We start from the raw sequence: 21,993 nt of genomic DNA, 5'->3' as shown, positions 1-21,993 counted from the left end.
CAGGATGCAATCAGGGCAACTCACAAGGCCAAAGCCTTGGACACCAAAGCTGGGAAAAGCATTGGCGTCCAGTCCTGGTCTAGTCAGTTCCTTCCTTGACCACCAGTCCCCCAGGCTGCCTGTAGATAGCAGGACAGCATCACTGCCCAAAGGATGTAATGTCCCAATGGTCAAGGTTGGCAATCTTTATTTTCTAGAAGTTTCCTAGCTGCTGAACTCTGACACATGAAGTACATATTTGAGAAATGATTAATTTTAAATGTTTATAAAGATATTAATTCATTATATTGTTCCTACCCCACACAAGAAATTTGTGTGTGATGAGGAGTCTGGGCATTTAAAACATGTACCAGAACAGGTCCACACAAAGCTACTTGCCCAGGCTCCCACCTGGGAAGGCTCCATAATTGTCCTGGTGAGGCTGCCCTGTGTGAGGCTCAGCACCACTGGGACTCCCATGACAGAGCATCAGAACCGCAGTATCTAAAAATAAAAGCCAAACTCAGCTGTGTTCTTTGCACCTAACTGCACAATGTTATTTAGAAGTGGCTCATGCATCTTTTTTATTCTCTCAAGTTCCTATAAGGGTAAATATCTGGGTCTCCTCTTGGAAATGGTCAATGGATGGCTGTGTTCATAAGTGACCTTGGAGAAGTTATCCTCCCTTTAACTACGGATGCAGTGCCAGTGCTGGGCCCACGTTGATCTGCTGGTCCCAGGCCGATGTTTTCTTCCCACCCACTGCCCCCTCACGGGCAGCATGTTGATGGGGTAGCAAGGCCTGCGCTTCACCCCTTCGCCCTCCCTGGCTGCTGCCCATGTCTGCTCACTTTATTCCTCATTCTCATGTGCTTTAGAAGTGGGCAGGGAGAAAAAGGGTGAAATGGCAGGGTCCAGTGCTTTTGTCTCCCCTTTGGAAAGGGATGGCGTTGGAATGGAAACCACAGCGATCCACAAGGCACTGGGGAAATTAGATGCTTCCTCTAAAGCAAGTGGCAAAGCCAGGGGTGGTTTACTGTGCTGTTCCAATAGTCCTCCTTGGAAATTCCATTTGACTAACACGGAAAAGCCTGAGGAGTAAGTTTGGACAGAGGAGAAATAAAAAGTTGTCAGCCATGATGGTTTTAAGGTATTTGGAGATCTTATTTCCTTATCCCTATTGCTTACTCTTCACACTTTTTTTTAAAGACTAGTCAATTGCAGTAGAGAGAAGCAGGGAAAGTAGAACAAGGAGTTCAATCTGTAACTGAGTGTGAACAATCCGATTGAGATAGCTCACTACCTTCAGACCAGCCTTCACACTCTTAATGTATCTATTTGATCTTTAATTGCACACACTTAAAATATTGAGACAGGGTAAAGAAAGTGACAAGTAATTAATGCTTCATATACACATTAAAAAGCACTTTTCCAATATGTGAAATATTTTCAAAGGTGATGCATTTTGCCAAATCATGATAAGAAAGACACAAAAGATGCAAAGGTGAATTCCATTACTTATTTTTTTCAGCCTAATCTCTAAGTTAAAAGCTTTTAAAATGTTGCCACTATAGAGTAAGAAAAGGAGAAGCATGGAAGTAAATAGCCTTCCAGCAAGGCCTGCGCTTCACCCCTTTGCCCTACCTGGCTGCTGCCCATATCTGCTCACTGTATTCCTCAGAATAAAGTGGGCCTCAGAAAGAAGAGGGCCAAAAGAACCAGCCCATTTTCTAGGGAGCAGACAGACGGTGGACCCAAAGCAAGTGCCACTCAACAGAACAAGCCTACAACAGGGCCAAGGCTGGCTCCTGCGAACCCAGCTGTTATAATCTCCCTGCTCAGGCCATGGAGAGACACTGTCACCATACCAAGGAATAAGCGGAATCCTTGTCTAGGTTAAAACCTCCAGCAGGACACAGAAATGGATTGGAAGCCAACAGACTTTGGATGCCTTGTGGGTGTGGTCAGTTGTCCAGGGGTTCACTGGCAAGACCTGCAGATCGTTTCAAAATCAGAACAAGGACCTTCACTGGCCCAGAACAGAACAAGGAGAACAGAAGGAAATTAGGTCTGAGATTGCCTGGAAAGGTTCTAGATCAGGAATCTATAAGACCTGGCATGGGTTATCAGGCTCAAGAGCAGGGTAGAAAATTTCCCAAAGATGGACATTTTCACGAAACTTTCTGCTTTTGCGGTCTGTAGCAGCAGCCAGTGCTTCTGTGTCCCCTTTTGGAAGAGGCAGCATGAGAACTGAAGCCACAGAAGTTCACAGTGCATGGAGAAAATCCAAGGGCTCCTCCAGAGGCAGCGGCATTGATGCTCCGGCGAGTGGCAAAGCCAGGGTGCTCCACAGTGCCGGTCCTTAGTCCTCCTTTGAGAATTGCGGGCATCACAGTCAAGAGCCAATCAACAGCCTCCTGCACTAGTCAGTTGATTTTGAAATATTTGCTTTGGCAAATTCTGACTACAAGTAATCATATAGTTCAGATTCATCCCTTTCTGAGTTTTCTTTTCTCTTTCACTCTCTCTGGTCCCATCAGTGGGGAAACTGTTTCTGTATTTCTCATTTCTTCCAAAAGAACCATGCACCTCAGAGAAGACCCCTCAGAGGGAGAGTGCTCCTGAGGTTGTCTCCAGCAACATAGACGACAGCTTCAAGCTTCCCTCTCTCCTTGTAAATGAAACCCACTGGGCCTGGCTGATGCAACCCAAGTTCTTCAGGGTTTTCACGAGATCCCGGCGGAATCTCTCACCCACAAAAACATAGAGAACAGGGTTCAGGCAACTGTGGAAGAAGGCGATGGTCTGGGTGACCTGGAAGCAGATGTCAATGTTGGTGGAAACGGCACAGTTGGAGATGAACATGGCATAGGCGTCAATGGTCTGCACCAACAAAATGCAGTTGTAGGGAAACTGAGACAAGACAAAGACGGTCAGGACAGTGATGGTCACTTTTAGGGCTTTGTGCTTGGAAGACTTCTTGGCTTGTATCAGGGTGTGAATGATGATGGTATAGCAGCAAGCCATGACCACGAAGGGAAGGAAGAACCCCAGAATGACCTTCAGGGTCAAGACAGCTGACTTCAGTTTGGTGCTCTCATCGCTAGGGTAAACCATGGTGCAGATAGCAATGCCGGATTCCTCCTTGATTTGGCTGTATAAGATTTCTGGGATGCAGAGAGCAGCTGCCAATACCCAGATGGTAAAGCAAACCATTTTGCTGTACAAAAGCCTTTTCTCCCTCCAAGTATGTGCTCTCATGGCCTGGGCAATGGCAATGTACCTGTCCACGCTGATGCACATGATCAGCAACACACAGCTGTAGAAGTTCATCTTGTACATGCTGTTGACCACCTTGCACATGAAGGTCTGGAACTTCCACTGGTCAGCAGCAGCAATGGCCCAGAAGGGAAGAGTGACAAGAAAGAGGAGGTCAGCAATTGCCAAATTCAAAAGGAACATGTCGGTCATGGTCTTCACTCTTGTGCAGTACCAGTAGACAAGGATAACAAGACTGTTGCCCAAGGCACCCACGATGAACACGAGCCAGTACAAGGGTGGGAGGAAATGGCTCGCAAACTGCCTGACATTGTTTTTCTCACAGTAGAAGTCAGTGAAGTTGAAGTTAACGTAGTCTTCCATGGAAGATGTGGATTCAGAGCCATAGTCATCAGCCATGTTAGGAATAGGGCTCTGCAAGGGGACACAAGATGGCATTAGGTCAAGGAAAATATTTTGAAGGTCCTGTCTGATGGCAGAGGCATGGACCTCTTGACCCTTCCAACCCCAAACACCTATGATAAGGCCAAAGACACATAGGCATTCTGAGGACATCTGCTTGGGTTGTGACATATTTATTTATTCAACAGATGTTTATTAAGCACATACTGTATGTTGGCTACTGTGCTATGTGCCAAAGAAACCATAATAAATAAGTCAGATGTGTGGCTTCACTCTCAGGAAACTTACCTACCCATAGAGCAACCAGACACGCAAATGAACATTTATAGTGTGCATGCCAAGTGCTCTGATGGGGTAAGAGTGCCTCCACACTACTGATGGGCAGTTTTATCAAACTGTGATATGACTGTGATCGTACTTCTCCTATCTATTCAGTTTTTCACTGACCCTAAAAAGGTTAGCAAGGGCTCTTAAACTCATCTGGATCCCAGTCCCCTGAGTTTCCTGAAAGCTCCGGGAGCACCAGCATACACCCACATACACATGCACATACACATACACACACAGACACTCTCAACCCTACATACACACACAAGCACCATGACCTGCTCTATAGTTAGCAGGACCCGTGGTCCAAAAATTATTAGGAATTTCAACACATCCAGCATTCAATCAAACAAGCAGCACTTCTAAGCACAGGGCCCCTATGTGACTGTGTGGGTTGCACAGCCATGAAGCTGGCCCCAACAAGCACACACACTCATATGTACATGCATACACATAATACATGCACTTGCACATGCTCTCGTACACAAACATGCCAACACTCATGCTCACATACACATAGGTACACACTCATGCATGCACACATATATACACACATATATGCGCATACACACACACACTTCTTACACTTTTTCTGGGTTCCTGAAGCAGAAGCCATCCTAAAACCCCTGCTACGGAAACAGGAAATGAGGTCTGGAAATGAGACCCTGAGATGTAAGCCCTTGAGTCAAACCTGGGGTGGGAGGTAATGAAGGATGTGGACTGCTGATGGAGGAGGAGGGGAGAGTCCGTGCCATGCCTGCTACATTCCTTCCAAAACCTCTGCCCACAGATCTTCAAGCGCTCTCACTTCCCACCAGTTTCCTTCTGAGGGCTCCCATTAGGACTCCCAAATTCCACCAGGGACTACCAGCTCTCACTCCCTTTCCTTGAGGGACATTCCTTGCCAAATCTCATCTCTACTTTTATTTATCCTGAGGCAAATGCAATAGTTCAATTCATCTGGATACATTTGGACTAGAAGTCACCCCAAATCCACAATAAGTTTTTATTTTGTTTTGAACAGTTAATATTAACAAATATATAAGTACAAAGATGATTTTGTGTACTTGAATGTTTATATTTAAATAGCAAAATATTCTCTACCTCCTGTTAGCTGGGCTCTCCCTATCTGTATACATTGTAATATCCATCTATTTCTAGTAGATCTGTCTAGCATTTCCCAAACCATGTTTTAGGTGGAACACTAATGGTTAAAATAGTTGAGAATCTTTGCATATTCCTTCTTTGAAATTCACAATACTCCTGAGCACATTGAAGGATCTGAAAAGTCCTACAAAACTTGTTTTATTTATTTGTTTGTTTGTTTTGAGACGGAGTTTTGCTCTTGCTTCCCAGGCTGGAGTGCAATGGCGCCATCTCGGCTCACTGCAACCTCCGCCTCCCAGGTTCAAGCGATTCTCCTGCCTCAGCCTCCTGAGTAGCTGGGATTACAGGCGTGTGCCACCATGCCTGGCTAATTTTTGTATTTTTAGTAGAGACGGGATTTCACCATGTTGGTCAGGCTGGTCTCGAACTTCTGACCTCGTAATCCACCCACTTTGGCCTCCGAAAGTGCTGGCATTACAGGCGTGAGCCACCATGCCCGGCCCAGAACTTGTTTTATTTTAATTGCACATTAGCACAGTAAAGACTCTGAGAAATCCTTCAGAATCTGTTGAATTTTGTTTAACAATGTTTTCTAAATTTATTGGAACATAGAACCTGTTGTGTGTGTGTTTGTGGAGGGCTTCTTAGATATCAGGGCTCACTGAATTGATTGATAAAGGACAGTAGATGTTAGTCCTATTTGGGCCCTGGCTGGCAGGAAGTAGCAGGAGGACCCAAGGTAACTTGGATGACAACTGGGAAAATCTGACATCTAGTCCTGACTCCATCTCCAATATGTGAGCAAGAGAAAATCCTATTGCAAAGAGAGGGACCCAGGAGCAGGATCCTGGAGGCGGCTCTTCAGGCCAGGGCAGCTGGAAATGGCCCACAAACGCAAAGAACTAAAGAAAACTCGTCTCCCTATTTTATATGTGATTAGTCCCTTGGCTTGATTAATCCATTTCAGTTTACACTTAGAGATGTTTCTTCTAGCATTGGCCCTTGTCTGGAAACCCAGTCTCTCGAGAGGACAGACCTCCTAGGTGACACACATTTTAGAAACATGCCAGGAGAATCCTCCCAACGCTGGACACGGGAACCAGCTGCAATCATGGCCCCACTAAGACAGTCGTCCTGTAGGAGGTGAGGTTTGAGTGGACTTTGAGTGAAAGAAGAACTTGAGAATAGAAGGAAGACTGTGAAGAGCATGGAGACCCCACAGTGGACATCACAGCAGGTTTAAGAGGTTGGGAGGATGACCTTTTGGAGGAATCTCAGTAAAACAATGCAGATGAGCAAGTACCGACTGTGAATCCACACAATGAATAAGTGCTAAACTTGCTTTTGAAGTTTTTTTTTTGTTATTTGTGGGTTGGTGTTTTGTGTTTTGTGTGTTTTTTTTTTTTTTTTTTGGTCAAATAGCTTTAATAGACTCTCACATGAGCCTGAGCCCACGGCTGTGAAGCAAATCGCAAGCAGCCTCACAGATGAGGGCCCAGGGGTCTTGCTGCCTGGAGTTGCTTCTCCGGTCCAGCAAGCCTGCTCTCCTCCTGCTGCAGCTCCAGGTAGCGAGGAGCAGCATGGATTTTAAAGACATGTTAAGAGGAAGACAGACAAGGAAGAAAGAAGAAGGCAAGGGAGGAAAGAGGGCATGCTTGGCAGAAGGACAAGCACAAGGGACGACTTTGGTTCCTGGGGAACAAATGAGAGGGGGCAGGTGGGAAGGCCAGCATCACTTAGCTGTGTTAGTCCTGGGCTAAGGTCCTGGAAGGAGATGGATTCCTGGGCCAGCGAGGGAAGGTGATCTGGAGCGGGGCCTGGAGGAGACTGCAGGAGCAGAATGGGAGAAATTGTGCAGAAATCCCAGGACCTGGGTGACCCAGCTTTCTCCACTGCCCGGTGAGCAGGCACAGCTAACACTCCCAAGACTGAATCCCAGACAAGGACATTGTGTCCTGCTGGAAGCCCAGGGGGCATAGTTTTTCTGCTGGGTGAGAATTAAGGACCTCGTGCTTTTGCATGAAGTTACTTAGTTAGTTAGGTTAGGGACTCCCCAGGCATATTTTTTAAGTGATTGAATTTTACACCCCAAATCTAGATTTATATAAAATTTGTCAGGACCACGAGAGGAATCCTGGAACAACACCCCCTGTGTCATGACTCACACTCATAGTTTTGCACATGCCTGATGGATCTTAGACATCAAATCCTCTGGAAATCCCTCAGTAAATGTAAACAAACCTCAGTGCACAGCCAGGGCAAGGGGCCCATCCTGCCTGTCTGTGTCCTGGCAAGCCTCTGAGCCCACAGGCTGTTGCTCCCACACAGGCACGTCCTCTTCCCTCAGGAGTCCTGGGCTCAGAAGCAGCAGCCCAGGCGTCCCAGTTGTGAACACCCAGAGCAGGAAGAAGGTCCCAGAGCTTTCCAGGGCCTCCTTCTCTGGCTCATGTGTTCTCTGGAAATCCTCAGCCAAACCCAGGCTCAAGATGCCCCTCTCTGGGGAATGGACAGAGAAAGGGCAGGGACTGTGCTTGCCAAGGCTTCCATTGTGCCTTAGCACCAAGAATGGGCACAAGGCAATGGGGGAGATGGAATAAGAGAGGGCACAAGAAGGAGGGAGGTGGGGAAAAAATGAATTTGTTATCAGCAGGGACTCTGGCAGACACCTTGGCCCCACACTTGAGAAAGTATTAAATCCCAACATTGAGACCTGGATTTCAGTGCTTTGACATTCACCCTGAGGGAGGAACCCAGCAAAGCTATGATTGCCAACAGCACCCCTCAAGGGCTATTCCTCCAAATTTCTATGAGACCTTGAACCCTCAAACCACCTTCCCCAGTCTCGGTCTCCTCATCTGTAAAAAGGACTCTGCCTTTACTGTGACGCTGAGGGAATGTGGGGCACCTGCATGGGTGACTGGCCCAGCACATCCTCAGAAAGGTGGCCACAGGGTGCCACGGCTACTTTCCATGGAATATGGGAGTCAGGGCCACAGGGGTCCCATCTTCTTCCCATTTAGATGGCGCCAGACTCCTCTGACAAGAGCAGGTCATTACTGAGGTGCAGTTTCCTTCTTATCTGGGGCTGCTTTGCAGAGTTGGCTATTATCCAAGATCCCAAATGATAAAAGCAAATGACTGGCAAGCTCAGAAGCAGCCCTGGCTCTGCTGCCTTCATCTACTTCTGTTTCCACAGCCTCAGGGATTGAAAGGTGAATTTAATGCAGGAGAAACTGAAGAGTCTACTTTTTGTCAGAATAATAGTTACTTCACCAGGACCAAATTAATTACTTTTTTGTTGTTATGGATATAGGTGCAATTAGGTAACTATACATATGTAATACTAATGAATCATTAGCATATCATAAATAATTTAGTTGATAAACTGTTTCAACCACCACTCTCCATAGATCATGGAAACCCACAATGTACTGTGAGGCAGTTTGTTAGCCCGCCTGCTAGGAAGTCTGGATTTCAATTATCTACATGTAAAACCCAGGCTTTCCCTTGGAGAAGAGCAAAATCAAAGCCCTTAGGTAATTTTATAAGGCATTTATGAATGTTACAAAAGCATGGGAAATTAATTTGATTCTACACTTAATTACATTCGGCTGTAAAAGAAAAAAAGATTCTCTGGATTATGATTTGACTCACTGATTTTTTTTTTTTTTTTTAAGACAGAGTCTCGCTCTGTTGCCCAGGCTGGAGTGCAATGGCGTGATCTTGGCTCACTGCAACCTCCACCTCCCAGGCTCAAGCGACTCTCGTGCCTCAGCCTCCCACGTAGCTGGGATTACATGCGCATGCCACCACACCTAGCTATTTTTGTATTTTTAGTAGAGATGGGGTTTTGCCATGTTGGGCAGGCTGGTCTTGAAATCCTGGCCTTGGCCAGGTGATCCGCCCGCCTCTGCCTCCCAAAGTGCTGGGATTACAGGCGTGAGCTACCACGCCCAGACTGACTCACTAATTTTTGCTCAGCTCTTGGTCTCTTTCAGGGGAATGTATACTGTTACGTGTTTTCATAAGGTCTACATAATGTTATGCAAGAAATACAACTAATGTGCCCACCATGGGTTTTTTAAAAGCAAATTACATGAATTCTCCCTTTGCCTCATTTGTCTGAGTTTTAGAACAGGCATATGGAACTAAGCACACCCTAGTTAAAGATGGTTAAAAATCCTTAGCTGTTTATAACACCACATTTTCCTCTGTCTCCACAACATACCCCAAAGCATAGCTGCCTCTTTGCATTTGCAAAACCCTCTGTGCTGGACAACAACCTACCCAGCAATGCGCATTGCCAGGCAGAGATCTTACCCTGGGAAACCACACAGATAAATCCTTCCCCCACAGTGGATCCTTCCCACACCCCCTAAAAAGGGAAGATGAGTGTGTGTTTTGAGGAGCCAGAGGAGCACGGCTGTACTCACTGTGAAGTCTGTGGGTGTCATGGTGGGTCAGTCAGATGCAAGCCTGCTCCTGGAAAAGGGACAAAAATCAAAAAGTGGACTGGCTTGTAAACGAATAGTAACAACCAAATGCCAAAAAGATGGAGATTAAATTTTAAATCTGCTTATTCTTCTGAAAAAAATATTCCAAGCAGGAGTTAGAGTCTATATAGTATTCTAGATTTCAGAATCATCTGAGTAGTCCACACAGAAATGAATGAACCTCTCCTTTGAAGTTATCATTCACTTCTTTGACTCTGAGGGTCACCTGATTCTAGCATTTGTTTTCTTTCTACTTAGACAATAATTAGTACATCTCCCATCCACAAATGAGGAATGGCAGGTGGGCTGTTACATTTTTCCCAGCTCATCCTTTCTACATTAGCTCCCTTTCCCTTGATTCAGCTTGTCTGTCAAGTCCTGTTTTGCTGACTGGTTCCCCTTCCCCCTGCTCTATCAGCTAAGGGACTCACCGAAGCTAACAGGACAGTGGTCGCTTTGAGAATGCCCTGGGCTCTGGACTCCCCAGGAAAAGGGCCTTTGAGTAACCAGGTGGCAAGAAGAACATGAGGGCTGGGTGGTGCCCACTGGGGTTGGGGCCCCTCCCTAAAAGACCCGGTGCCCCCAGAACCCACCTTTCTCCTCTTTACCCTGACTTCAGCAGGAAAAGGAAGTCCTAGGTTTGTGTACTGAAGAAAATGAGTTCTAGTTCCCTAATGCACAGGGCCTCGGAACTGACTGAAATAAATCTCGAGTTGTCATTTTCATGTGTTTTGAATTTCTTTAAAGCCCACCCCTACATAACCAAAGAAACAACAGCTTGACTGCCTTCGAGGACGAAGTCTGTGCCTGAGCTGGGGCATTTCCTTTTATACCCTTAGCGAGTACATTTCAAGGAAACCTGTCCAGCATCACACCCCAAGGTTCTCGAAAAAAATAGCCTCTTTCATAAATCCTATAAAGCCAACCTGTTGGCTTCCTTTCCATAACAACATCATGACCCCACCCTGCTTTTCTGAAAGTACAGTGGTTTCCAATGCATAATGTGTGGTAAAACCACTTTGGAAAACTGGCAGTTTCTTAAGACGTTATACATGCACTCACCATGTGATCCAGTCATCCCACTCCTAAGTATTCACCCAAGAAAATTGTAAGTATATGTCCCCATAAAGACTAGTATGTGAGTGTTTATTACAGCTTTACTCTGTGGTAGGCAAAAACTGCTAACAGCCTAAATGTCCATCAAGTAGTAAATGGATAAGTTAACTGTGAAATATCCGTCCAATGGAATAGGGAATGAATGACCGATTCACACAGCAACATGGACAAGTCTCCAAACAATTATGCCAAGTAGCCAGACCAAAGGGAGTTCATACTGTATGATTTCACTTGTATAAAACTCTAAATAATGCAAACTAATCTATACTGACGGAAAGCAGAATCACTGATGTCCTGGCAATAGAGAGAGAGAGAAGGGGAGGTGGCTGGGCATGGTGGCTTACGCCTATAATCCCAGCACTTTGGGAGGCCAAGGTGGGTAGATCACCTGAGGTTGGGAGTTCGAGACCAGTCTGGCCAACATGGTGAAACCCCATTTCTATAAAAATACAAAAAATTAGCCAGGTGTGGTGGTGTGCGCCTGTAGTCTCAGCTACTCAGGAGGCTGAGGCAGGAGGATCACTTGAACCTGGGAGGCAGAGGTTGCAGTGAGCCAAGATTGCACCACTGCACTCCAGCCTGGGTGACAGAGCAAGACTCCATCTCAAACAAAAAAAAAAAGAGAGAGAGAGAGAGGGAAGGGGAGTGTGGGAGGGCAGGAGGGCAGGTGGGTACAAAGGAAACCTCAGTGGGGGATAAATATGTTCACTGTCTGGGTTGTGTGAGAGCTTCGCAAGGGTGTATGTACGTCAGAACTTACATTCTGCATTTTAATATTTGCAGTTTATTATAATTGGACCTCAATAAAGCTGTTCAAGTAAGGCAGGAAAAAGCAAAGTACGATGAAAACCTTCTGGCACTTCACTTCTCAGTGTCATCTCCGGCTGTCAGCAGGCCCTGAGGAGGAAAGCAACCAGAACTTCCTCCTGGTAACCTCTCTGCTGGTAGCTTTTCAAAAGTGCACTGGAGTGCCTTGTGCTGTTGTAGCCAACTTGAGAGATCACTACGGACCCACGTGGGTTTTTTTTGTTTTGGTTTGTTTTTGTGGGTTTTTTCCTTTTATTTTAGCTTCAGGGGTATATGTGCAGGTTTGTCATATAGGTAAATTGCGCGTCATGGGGGCTTGGTGTATAGATTATTTCGCCACCCAGGTTAATAAGCATAGTACCTGACTGGTAGATAGTTTTTTTATCCTCACCCTCCTACCTCCCTCCATCCTCAAGGGGGTCCCAGTGTCTGTTATTCCCTTTTTTGTGTCCATATGTACTCAACATTTAGCTCCCATTTATAAATGAGAACATGTGACATTTGTTTTTCTGTTCTGTGTTAATTCACTTAGGATAATGGCCTCCAGTTCCATCCATGTTGCTTCAAAGGACAGGATCTTGTTCTTTTTTATGGCTGTGTAGTATTCCATGATGTATATGTACCACATTTTCCTTATCCAGTCTATCGTTGATGAACATTTAGGTTGATTCCATGTTTTTGCTATTGTGAATAGTGTTGGAATGAACATACATGTTCACATGTCTTTATACCCATATGTTTTTAAGATTAAATTAGATAGATAGATAGACAATTTGTATATGTATATGTATGTGTGTTTCACATACATATTTCCTGTCTCTGTCTGCTGAGAGGACCTAAAAGCAATGATACACAGCATAATTAGCACCTAGTGCCCTGATCTTGGAATCTAAATATCTTTCTCCACTAAACAGCCAGGGCTCCTTGGAGACATGTAACTACATGTTGATGGTGTTGGATTTGAAGACCAGCTAAGTTGGTCTTCAAACCCCATACCACCAACATGGAAGCAAACCAGTGTCACATTTGTCCTAAAGAGTTGAGGAGGGAAGACACATCATCTTTATTCCTGGAAAAAAGGTCAACCTAAATCAAAGAATGAGGAAGCATCAGAAAAACGCAAAATGAAGGACTTTCTGCAAAGTAATTGGCCAAATATCAAGGTCAAGTGAGACAAAGAAAAACTGAGAAACCATCTCAGGTTGAAGGAGACTAAAGAGACAGGACAAGTAGATGCAAGGCAAGAACCTGGATTTGGTCCTGGAGTGGGGAAAAAAAATAATTGTGAAGGACATTACTGGGAAATTAAGGGCATTACAATAGGTGCTGTGAATTCGATGATAGTGCTGCATCCGGATTAAATTTCCTGATTTTGCTGACTGCATTGTGGTTTTACAGGAGAATGCCCCTGTTCTTAGGAATTATCCCCTGAAGTATTTAGGGGCAAAAGAGAACAGTGTCTTTGGCATATTCTCAAAGGATTCAAAAAATAAGCAAAAAATGCAAAAAATTAATGAAAACATATGTATATAGAGAGAAGGAGAATAATAAAGCCAGTAGGACAAAATGAAAACAATGGTTTGGGTGAAGGGTTTATAAGCATTCTTTACACAATTTTTCACTTTTCAGTGAGCTTGAAATTAGATACAAGTAAGACTCACAATAAATTTTTAGAAGAGAAAAAAATATTTTGGCAATTGACCCTAAGACACAAGAAAGCCTGGAACAGGACTGTGTCTGAAATAAAAATGAGTAGCCCCAGCCTCCGGCCGTGACCTTACCCAGCCACCTGGGCATTCACCGAATTTCACTGCAGCCCTCTGGGGGCCAGGAAAACACTGACATTTATCTGAAAAATGACTTTTTTTGTTACAAAAGTAACACACGTGTTTGCAGGAAATTTGACAAATACAGAAAAGCCGAGAGGAGAAAATCAAAATCACCCGTAATCTTCCTACCCTAAAATAACCACTTTTAACTTTCTGTTGTTTTCCCTCCCAGCCGTGTTTCTATGCATTCGTACACTTTGAACTTTTATTTTCTTTTTCCCACCTAACGGATTATGAACATTTCTTTCATCATTAAACATTCTTCAGACAGGTGAAGGCATCAGCTACCTGGCATTCCGACAGGGGCTGTGCCCCAATTCATTTAAACATTCCCCTCTGTGGGGCAATTCACCTGCTTCTAACTTCTTTTTATAGTTATTTTGAAATATTTCTCAGGTGAATGAAAGATGCATTTTCTTCAGAAAGGTTGTATTCTGCCCCTTTCCTCCTAAGCCGAAGAACCAAGAACTTTCCCCAGGCAGTATTTCTGAACGGTTCTGACATCTTCAGCTCTGTGGAGTGATTGCTTCCTGCTTGGCATGACTCCAGGTGCCATCAAGAAGCCCAGTGAGCCTCTGTTTTGAAATAAGAAACTCACCCAGCAAGCAGAAAAGCAGCCACTTTGGAGCTGAGCATTACTCTTCTTTTTTTTGCCCCAGATGAAAAATGCCCAGTTGAGTTTGGAAGACCTCAACTCAGCAAATTTTATTTTATTACAGCTTGGGGAATACGGAGGTTGATTTTTGAGATATCAATTAGAAAACACTTTATATATGTTATATATATATATATGTTATATATATATGTTATATATATATTTATATAAATATATATATATGTTATATATATATTTATATAAATATATATATATGTTATATATATATTTCTAATACCCAGGGCTTATGTCACCTCCTTTTTGCTTGCATGAAAGGACTGAATATTAATCATGTAATACCTGAGAAAAATTCCCAAAGAAAGAAACCACAAAAAGAAGAAAGAATGGCTTTGTTATAGTGAGTGACAGCAAGTTTCAGATTGGAAATAGCAATAGATGGTAACGACATTGGTAAGAGTTTGGAAAAAAGGCCTCCACACTGCTGTGAGGAGTATAAATTTATGTGATCTTTTTGGAGGGTTAAGCCATATCTGTCAAAATTTACAAAGCACAACATCTCTGACTCTGCAGCGCATCTGCTTGGAATTTGCCCTACTGGTATTCTCACAAAAGAACACAAGGGTCCAGGTATAGGGATATATGTTGGAGCAGAACAAAAATTGGAAAACAACTTAAATATTCAGCAATTGGTAATATTATGACACATCAATCCAATAAACCATGTGTAGCCAATAAACAAGGATGGTCCTCATGCTGATAGAAAAGAGGTCCTCAAGACTATAAGATTAAAATGCAACATGTAGGAAGACTTATGTTGTGTGATCTTTAAAAAAAAAAAAATAGAAAAAGACATACACTGCACTGCTCACCAGCACCGAAACATTTTCTGGAAGGAGACTGAACCACTGTGACCAGTGGAAAATGAACTTTCATGTTTTCATTTAGATTTTGCAAACTATTTAAATATCTTACCAAGTGTGTAAAATTTTATTTTAAGAGCTGTCATAAAAATAACTTGTCAGATTTAAAAAAAAAAGAAGAAGAAGCCCAATGCTCTAACGTTCAGCACACCTGTTTACAAAACTCATCTAGAGGAGGAACTTGTAGCCTGCTCCAGCTACCGCAGAAAGAGCAAGTCTAGTAATTACATTCACCGAGGCTACTTTATGCAACTAAGTTGTACACTAGCTTTCTATAAAGGTTTCTCTTTATTTTTTTTTTTAAAGGTAATATATAAACACAAGCCAGGCAAGATGGCTCATGCCTGTAATTCCAACACTTTGGGAGGCTGAGGTGGGAGCATCACTTGAGGCCAGGAATTTGAGATCAGCCTGGGCAACAGAGCAAGACCCCATCTCTACAAAAAATTTAAAAATATGCCAGGCATGGTTGCCTACCCTGTAGTCCCAGCTACTCAGCTGGCTGACGCAGGACAATCGCTTGAACCCAGGAGTTCAAGGCTGAAGTGAGCTAACATTGCACTGCTGCACTGCAGCCTGAGTGACAGAGCAAGACCCTGTCTCTAAAATAAATAAACAAATAGTATATATCATGTAATATATTATGGTGTATAATAGAATGTAATATATTACAGTTTATAAAATATGCATCTGCTTCTGGCTCATAGAAAATTTGGAGAGAGCCAAAGAGTAAAAACAGGACATACCCCTCCCTAGAGCCCACATCTAGAACCTCCACAGACAGCCTTGCCATCTATTTCTCTTTCATTTTTGTCAGAATACTTCTCAAATATTTTATTCTCCCAGCTACTAAGTCTCAGTGCTTGCTTTCATTTTTGTCTTGCCAGTGAGAAAGCGGGAAAAATATAGGGGGGAAAATCCCACATATGACCAAACATACTGAGAGTGAGGACCATCTCAGCGGTCTGTCGGGAGTGGATGGGCAGTTGACTCAGCACTGTGGCAAATCTCTCCCTTGCTGCTCAGTGAGGCCTTGTTGCAGGTGCCATGGGCCATCCATCGAACCCACTTATTCAATGTGCCTTGAGTACCTGATACATTTATTTGGCTTAAACAATGTGTAAGACATGATCCATGTCCTCAAGAAGCTTGCATTCAAATACACTGAGTAAGTCATGGCTGCAAATAACAACAAAGGGAAAGTGCTATGAGTTGTGGTAGGAATTGGAAGAAGGAGGTCATGTCTTTAGCTCTGGGGAGAATCCAGGAGGGCTTCATTGAAGAGGTGACATTTTTGCGGGTCCTTGAAGGCCGAAGAGCATGGAGACATGCAACGAGGGGAGGGAACATTGCTCCAGGGTGGGAAAACATATGCACTAAGGCATGAAAGTCAGAAAGCATGGGGTATGTGCAGGGACCTGGGAGATAAAGGAAGGGAGAGAGCTGCTAATTCTCCAAAAGAGAAAAGTGCCTATTAGAAAAGTTAGCTTGGAACCTATTATTATCCAATCACTATTTTTGTATTCTCTAACATTCTTACGTAGCCAACATGAAAATCAGCATGGGGTTATTGTGCACACAGCATCTCCCCACACTTATAGCCTCTGATGCTTACAGCACTAACATCAAATCAGATACTAACATGAGTCAGGAATGCAGGTCCTTACTTTGAACTTTGTACAATTTGCTACACGGAGCTTGAATCATCTCTTACATTTTTTCATAGCTCTGCTTTTTGTTCCCTACACGAGGCAGGGTCTCTGAGCCATCTATCAGATCCATCCACTCACCATGCCTGGATCAGATGCCTGCCAACCGCCCAGCAGGGGCTGCACAGGGCCCAGGGGCTCCCAACACAAGCCTGTGAGTGAGGCCTACACAAAGAGGCTTCAGAACAGATAAGCAGATATTGGAAGAAAAGGACTCCGAAATTCCAGATGCTGAAATAGTAAATTAGCTTTTGCTCGTTCAGGAAAGGGAGTAAGGAGATGGGATCCCACAGACTGGCTGCTGCACAGCCCTTCCGGTTCAGCACACAGTGACCACTCTCTGGATGGACTTGCCAGCCGTCTATGGAGTAACAGCTAATTCAGAACTAAAGAGGGTAGGTGTGTTTGAAAAGGCAAACCAGCATCCACTGATGAGTCATTTAAAATAACTTTTTGCTTTACTCTGATCATAAAGGAGTATTTTTACAATGCACAAAAAATCCCCAAAATGCCAACATACATAATATAGAAAATAAAAACTCCTGAAGCACCCTTTCCTAGTTTAGCCATTGTTAAGTTTCTGAGATACTTCCTTTCTGACTTTTTCTCTGTAACACAACCTCACACACACACACACACACACACAGACACACACGCACTTAATAGAAAGGAAATCAGACTACACATATAATCTTCTATCTTGCTTTCTAATTGCCCATCTTTCATGGATCACCTTCCATGCCAATTCAACATAGAACCGTATCATAGAATTGGATGGCTGCTGTGTATTCCATTGTCTAGATACATCACAATTCATTTAACCATTCGCCTCCTGATGCATAGTTTCCTTGTTTCCAGTTTTTCACTGCTACAAAGAATCCTTTCCATGGGGCAGTGTCTCAGACTCAAGGACCTCATGGGTGTGTCCTTTACCCCTGGCCACCATCTTGTCCCCCAGCACCTGCTTCTCCTTCCTTTAAGGTATAAATCACAGACTGCCTTAAGCCTAAGCTTCATGTATGTGAAGGGGGAGGGAGTTTTATTACTCGCCCTACAAGAAACCTGGGTTGGGCATCACCAATTCCCATTTACCTTCCTGGAAGTTTCTAGAAAAGTGCCTGGTGCCCATGACCTCTGAACAAATGAGTGCAAGCCCAGGTTTTAGAAGCCATCATAGCAGCACACAACTGAGGGCCAAGATGACACTGGGTTGGGGGCAACAAGAAGAAGAGCAATACTCACTGTGGAGGGCGATGCAACTCTCCCTGGGACAGCAGGCACCACCAGCTCTCAGTGTCTGGGGAAAGAGCTGGGTTGCTCTCTGCCTGGGATGAGGGGCAGGCTTTGTGGGTTCTGAGCAGGCAGCTACCCGATAACAACACGAGAAAGGAAGCCAGGCCACCCCTGCCTGTGTTGTCACTGGTGGGGTAGCCCAAGAGGGTGGGGAGTCACCTGTGTAGCTTCCAGCAATCAGCGGAGTCAATCATTTGCAACCAGAAACAAAAAGCTGAAAACTGCTGGGATAAGGGGAAACTGTCTCATCTGAAGACGCACATACAGACTGATGATCTAAGAGCAAATTCTCTTCCTAGACAGCACAGCTGCTTACAGGGAATGGGGAAATTGGAGGATCCCATCGAGAGAAGTCAGCCTTGTCAGGCTTGCCAGAGGTGCACACTGATGAGATTTCTTTAGGTGGTGTCACCTGAGCAGGCCTGTATCAGATTACCACCCAGTGGCAGATGTAGCACTATCCATCGCAACATACCTTTTCTGGCCTTGACAGACGTACCAGAACCCGGAGGGCTGTGCTATCCAACACAGTAGCTACTAGGCAGATGTGCCTATTTAAATTCAAATTAATTAAAATGCTAACTAGGGCCAGTGCAGTGGCTCACCTCTGTAGTCCCAGCACTCTGAGAGACTGAGGCGGGCAGATCACTAGGCAGAGCCTAGGAGTTCAAGAACAGCCTGGACAACATGGTGAAACCTCATCTCTACAAAACACACAAAAACAATTAGGCAGGCATGGTGGCCCATGCCTGTAGTCCCAGATACTCAGGGAAGCTGAGGTGGAAGGATCAGGAGGCAGAGGTTGTAGTGAGCCAAGATTGCACCACTGCACTCCACCCTGGGCAACAGACTGAGACCCTGTATCAAAAAAGAAAAATGTTTTAAGTGTTAACTAGTTTCTCAGTCATGCCAGGTACATTTCAAGTGCTCAATAGCCACATGCAGCTAGTGGCTATCCCAATGGACAATGCAGATACAGAACCTGTCCATCGTCGCCAACAGTGCTATTGAAAGGCACTGCTTTAGAAAGTCTGCCTGTGAGATGTAGCTAGGAACACATGGAGTGCTGGAAAGCCACAGACACCTTCAAATTGGGGCAAATCTAGTAAGGTTTTGCACATCAGATACATTAACAAAGATAATACAATAAATTGTATTAATTACAGGTGTTTTGGTAAAACTTTGAAAAAAGCTAAATATACAAAATATTGCATTTTTAATGAAGATCACAGACGAAGTCTTCCCATCCACTGCTACAGTGGGGACTTCAATCCTGATGTGATTAATGATTTCCTGTCATTGTTATGACAAAGATCCCTTTTATATATTTGTTCTGGGGGAAAATCATGACTACACTCTTGTGGATGTTAATTTCCACCTCTTGGTGTATTGATTGTCCCGAGGACTCAATGCCGCTCTGTCATGGCGTGGTACTCCCAGGCGCATGTCCCCTTCATCACCCTCAGTTCCCGTAGAGCAAAGGGATGCAGAAGGTGCACTTGGGTTTATTGTCTAAATGGAAAAAGGCCAACAAATAGGTCATCTGAAAGGTAGAGGGCATGCACAGTAAGAACGAAAGAGGTGTCTGATTCATCAGCCTTAAGGAACGGCGGTGCGAGGGAGCCGTGAAATTCCCTTCCCTCGGCGGGCGCTCATTGCAAATAAATGGTGTCTGAAACTATACATAGCTGAGAACCAGCCAGATGCTCTGGCATCTCACTCCTCCCTCTCACTTGGCAAATAAAGACACAAAAGGAACTGGTGCTAGAGGGAAGAAGATGTTCCCTTACTTGACTTTCTTGGCTGAATTTGTTTCTCCCCCGTGTTTGATTGCGTCCTTGGAAAGCTTGCAGCGAGGTGAGACACGCACTATTGCAATTGCCATGGGTGAGGAAAAGCCTGTGCTTCTCCCTTCTCTTGACTCAGGCTGTTTCCTCATCAGGTAAGAGCATACAAGGTAGACACTGCTTGCCCCTAGACGTTGGAGTGAGTCTCGGGGGAGGAAGGAAGGTGAGGCTGGCCGTCAGGGAAGAGGAGAAGGGGTAAATGCACCGGTGTGGGAAGATTCCCTCCTCTGCACGGGTCCCCGTGGTCCAGGTGAGGTGGGGAAGCTTAGGTAGGTTCTTCCATCCAGGTCTGGAAGAGCTGCTCTAGAGCACTCACATGCCCTCTCCTGGGATGCAGAGAGGATCATGAGGCTGGGGAGAAGGGAAGACGCAAGGAAGTCATAGAGAGAACTTCCGCTTTCTCAAAGGAGCTTGTGCAAATGTGACTCCCTTTGCTGCAATCTAGTTTAGGTCCATTCCTGAAAAAAGCCCTATCCTCTTGTTTTCTTTGCTGTGTTTCTTTCTTTGCAACTAGAATTCAGAGCTGGGTGACTATAAAAGGTTGCTGGTCCCCTTTTCTAAGGGCTATTTCTCTCTTGCATTCTCACCCTGCCAAAGGTGAGTTCTGGAGGACAGGGCACTATAAGCATACTCTGAGGGAAGAGATGGAGGTTCTCTAGAGGCTGAGTGCCCTCTGTGGTGCCCAAGGAGGCTGAGCTCTGTTCCTGCGAGCCCCAGTTGTCAGACCTGCTCAGATCTCAGGATTTCTTCAGGACCCAACCTACCCCAGAATGGCGTGGAGTGCAGCACATTCATTTGTCACTGAGCCACCTTTCTGGTTCCAAGGCTGCATCTGTCCACTGGACTAGTGAGAGGATTGTCAGTGTTTTGCTCCTGGGCCTGCTTCTAGCTGCTTAACTGAATCCTTGCTCTGTGATGGCCTACTCCGTGGCTGCAACTCTCACTCTTCATGGTCTTGGGGCCTTGGACAAGTTGTTCCTGACTGTGTTCATGGGGATGCATTGCAGAAAGCTGCCAAGGCAGGCCTTTTGGCACTTTCAGCTTTAGCCTTTTCTGGGCTTTGCTCTTTCAACTATCATGATGTGGGCATCTGCAAAGATACTGCCACATTGTAGAAGCGCTGACCTTTTTGACTTATACTTTGAAGAATTAATGCATGCCTCTTTGCCTTCACTTTGTCACGCCATTCAACTCACAATAAGGAAGAAATAACAGATAAATCCATTGGTGGACAGCCATCTTCTCTTAATCACCAGACTATTTTCAGAATTTAAGCTTTGAGGAAAAGGTTTGAGAAGAATTATGTCCAAGAAATTGTGAGACTGAGGTCTGTATTCTGGTGAGTTAACGGGGTTGCCTCCCAGCTTCTTATAAGACTCACATATAACTCAACATGATATATGAGCTTTTGCCTTTGAATTTATCAATCTCTTAAAGAGAATCCAGCTTTATTACTATTACTACATGATCAAATTTCTTCTGTACTTGCCTTGGGAATAATGGGCAAAGAGAAATACTGTTAATTCATGAATAAAAACTTTGCAGAAAATGAGACCGTGTTTAATTTTCAAAAACTTCCCTCTCTATTCAGTAGACACCAGCTACTGATGGTTACATATTCTAGGGGAAGTTGAAAATTAGGAAATGCTGATATCTCACATTATGAATTTCTAAATCCTAGGAAGAAAAGCTTGGAATGCTTCTGAGTATAGCAAAGTTCTGTTTAAGGGCAAGGTCCCCCTTGTAGAAGTATCAAAATATTACAAATTCTAAACTGAGACTTCATTCTCAAATGTGTTTTACTTGTTCTAAAACGATCTGTCCACAAATATAGAACTATAAGTAATAAACTGTTATTTTCCCACTAGAGGAATCTCTAATACAAAAATGCATTCTATGAAAAGAAATTTTTAAAAAAATGTTAATAATAATAATAATAATAATAATAATAATAATAATAGTATCCCCTTTGGGTTATGGACCAAGTGCTGTACCTGGCAACTGAAGAGCATTTCAGGAATAACTGTGGACTAGAAACAGCAATCCACAACGCTGATACCTGTAACAGAGAAAAGACCCAAGCTGACTTTGTTGCAGGGGCCAACAGGAGTGCTGAGTCTGTTCATTACAATATATGATCAAGTCGGTTACCTCTTGTTCATTCCAATATACCAAGTATCTAGCACAGTCTCTGGCACAGAAAAAATTAATTTTACTTCAGTCCTCTACTTTTTAGGTTCCCCAAATTGAAAACTACTATAGATTTGTA

At 44.2% G+C, this 21,993-nt stretch overlaps 2 protein-coding genes and 1 pseudogene across 17 annotated transcripts in view, besides 1 other annotated feature; 2 read left to right on the top strand and 1 right to left on the bottom strand.

Annotated features, from left to right (window-relative positions):
- LZTFL1 (leucine zipper transcription factor like 1) overlaps nucleotides 1-21,993 on the top strand; it is a 92,409-nt gene that overhangs the window by 11,243 nt on the left and 59,173 nt on the right. The gene's annotated exons all lie outside the window — the stretch shown is intronic.
- On the bottom strand, nucleotides 1,308-18,418 carry CCR9 (C-C motif chemokine receptor 9). 5 transcript variants are annotated; one of them, NM_001256369.2, is made up of 4 exons: nucleotides 17,827-17,939; nucleotides 9,528-9,576; nucleotides 6,836-6,921; nucleotides 1,308-3,672 (listed from the first exon to the last, which is right to left on the bottom strand). In NM_001256369.2, exon 4 carries the CDS (start codon nucleotides 3,655-3,657, stop codon nucleotides 2,584-2,586), a length of 1,074 nt encoding a protein of 357 aa, NP_001243298.1. In that variant the 5' UTR covers nucleotides 3,658-3,672; nucleotides 6,836-6,921; nucleotides 9,528-9,576; nucleotides 17,827-17,939; the 3' UTR covers nucleotides 1,308-2,583. The 5 variants fall into 5 exon arrangements, with proteins under 5 accessions (NP_001243298.1, NP_001373377.1, NP_112477.1 ...); NM_001386448.1 differs by lacking the exons at nucleotides 6,836-6,921; nucleotides 17,827-17,939 and adding an exon at nucleotides 18,353-18,418; NM_031200.3 differs by lacking the exon at nucleotides 6,836-6,921.
- Nucleotides 17,924-18,923: a promoter, noted in NCBI's record as "1 kb fragment used in the pGL3-CCR9p reporter construct". NCBI's record gives its function as "drives Tax-transactivated expression of CCR9 in transfected Jurkat T cells or cadmium-treated JPX-9 T cells {active_cell/tissue: Jurkat(+Tax) | JPX-9(+Cd2+)}" and the evidence as "EXISTENCE:reporter gene assay evidence [ECO:0000049][PMID:17205512]".
- Nucleotides 20,357-21,655, top strand: SDHDP4 (succinate dehydrogenase complex subunit D pseudogene 4; annotated as a pseudogene).

Source organism: Homo sapiens, chromosome 3 (genome assembly GCF_000001405.40).
Source record: "Homo sapiens chromosome 3, GRCh38.p14 Primary Assembly".
In the NCBI taxonomy this organism is placed as follows: Eukaryota; Metazoa; Chordata; class Mammalia; order Primates; family Hominidae; genus Homo; species Homo sapiens.
This window is presented reverse-complemented; position numbering and strand designations above follow the sequence as displayed.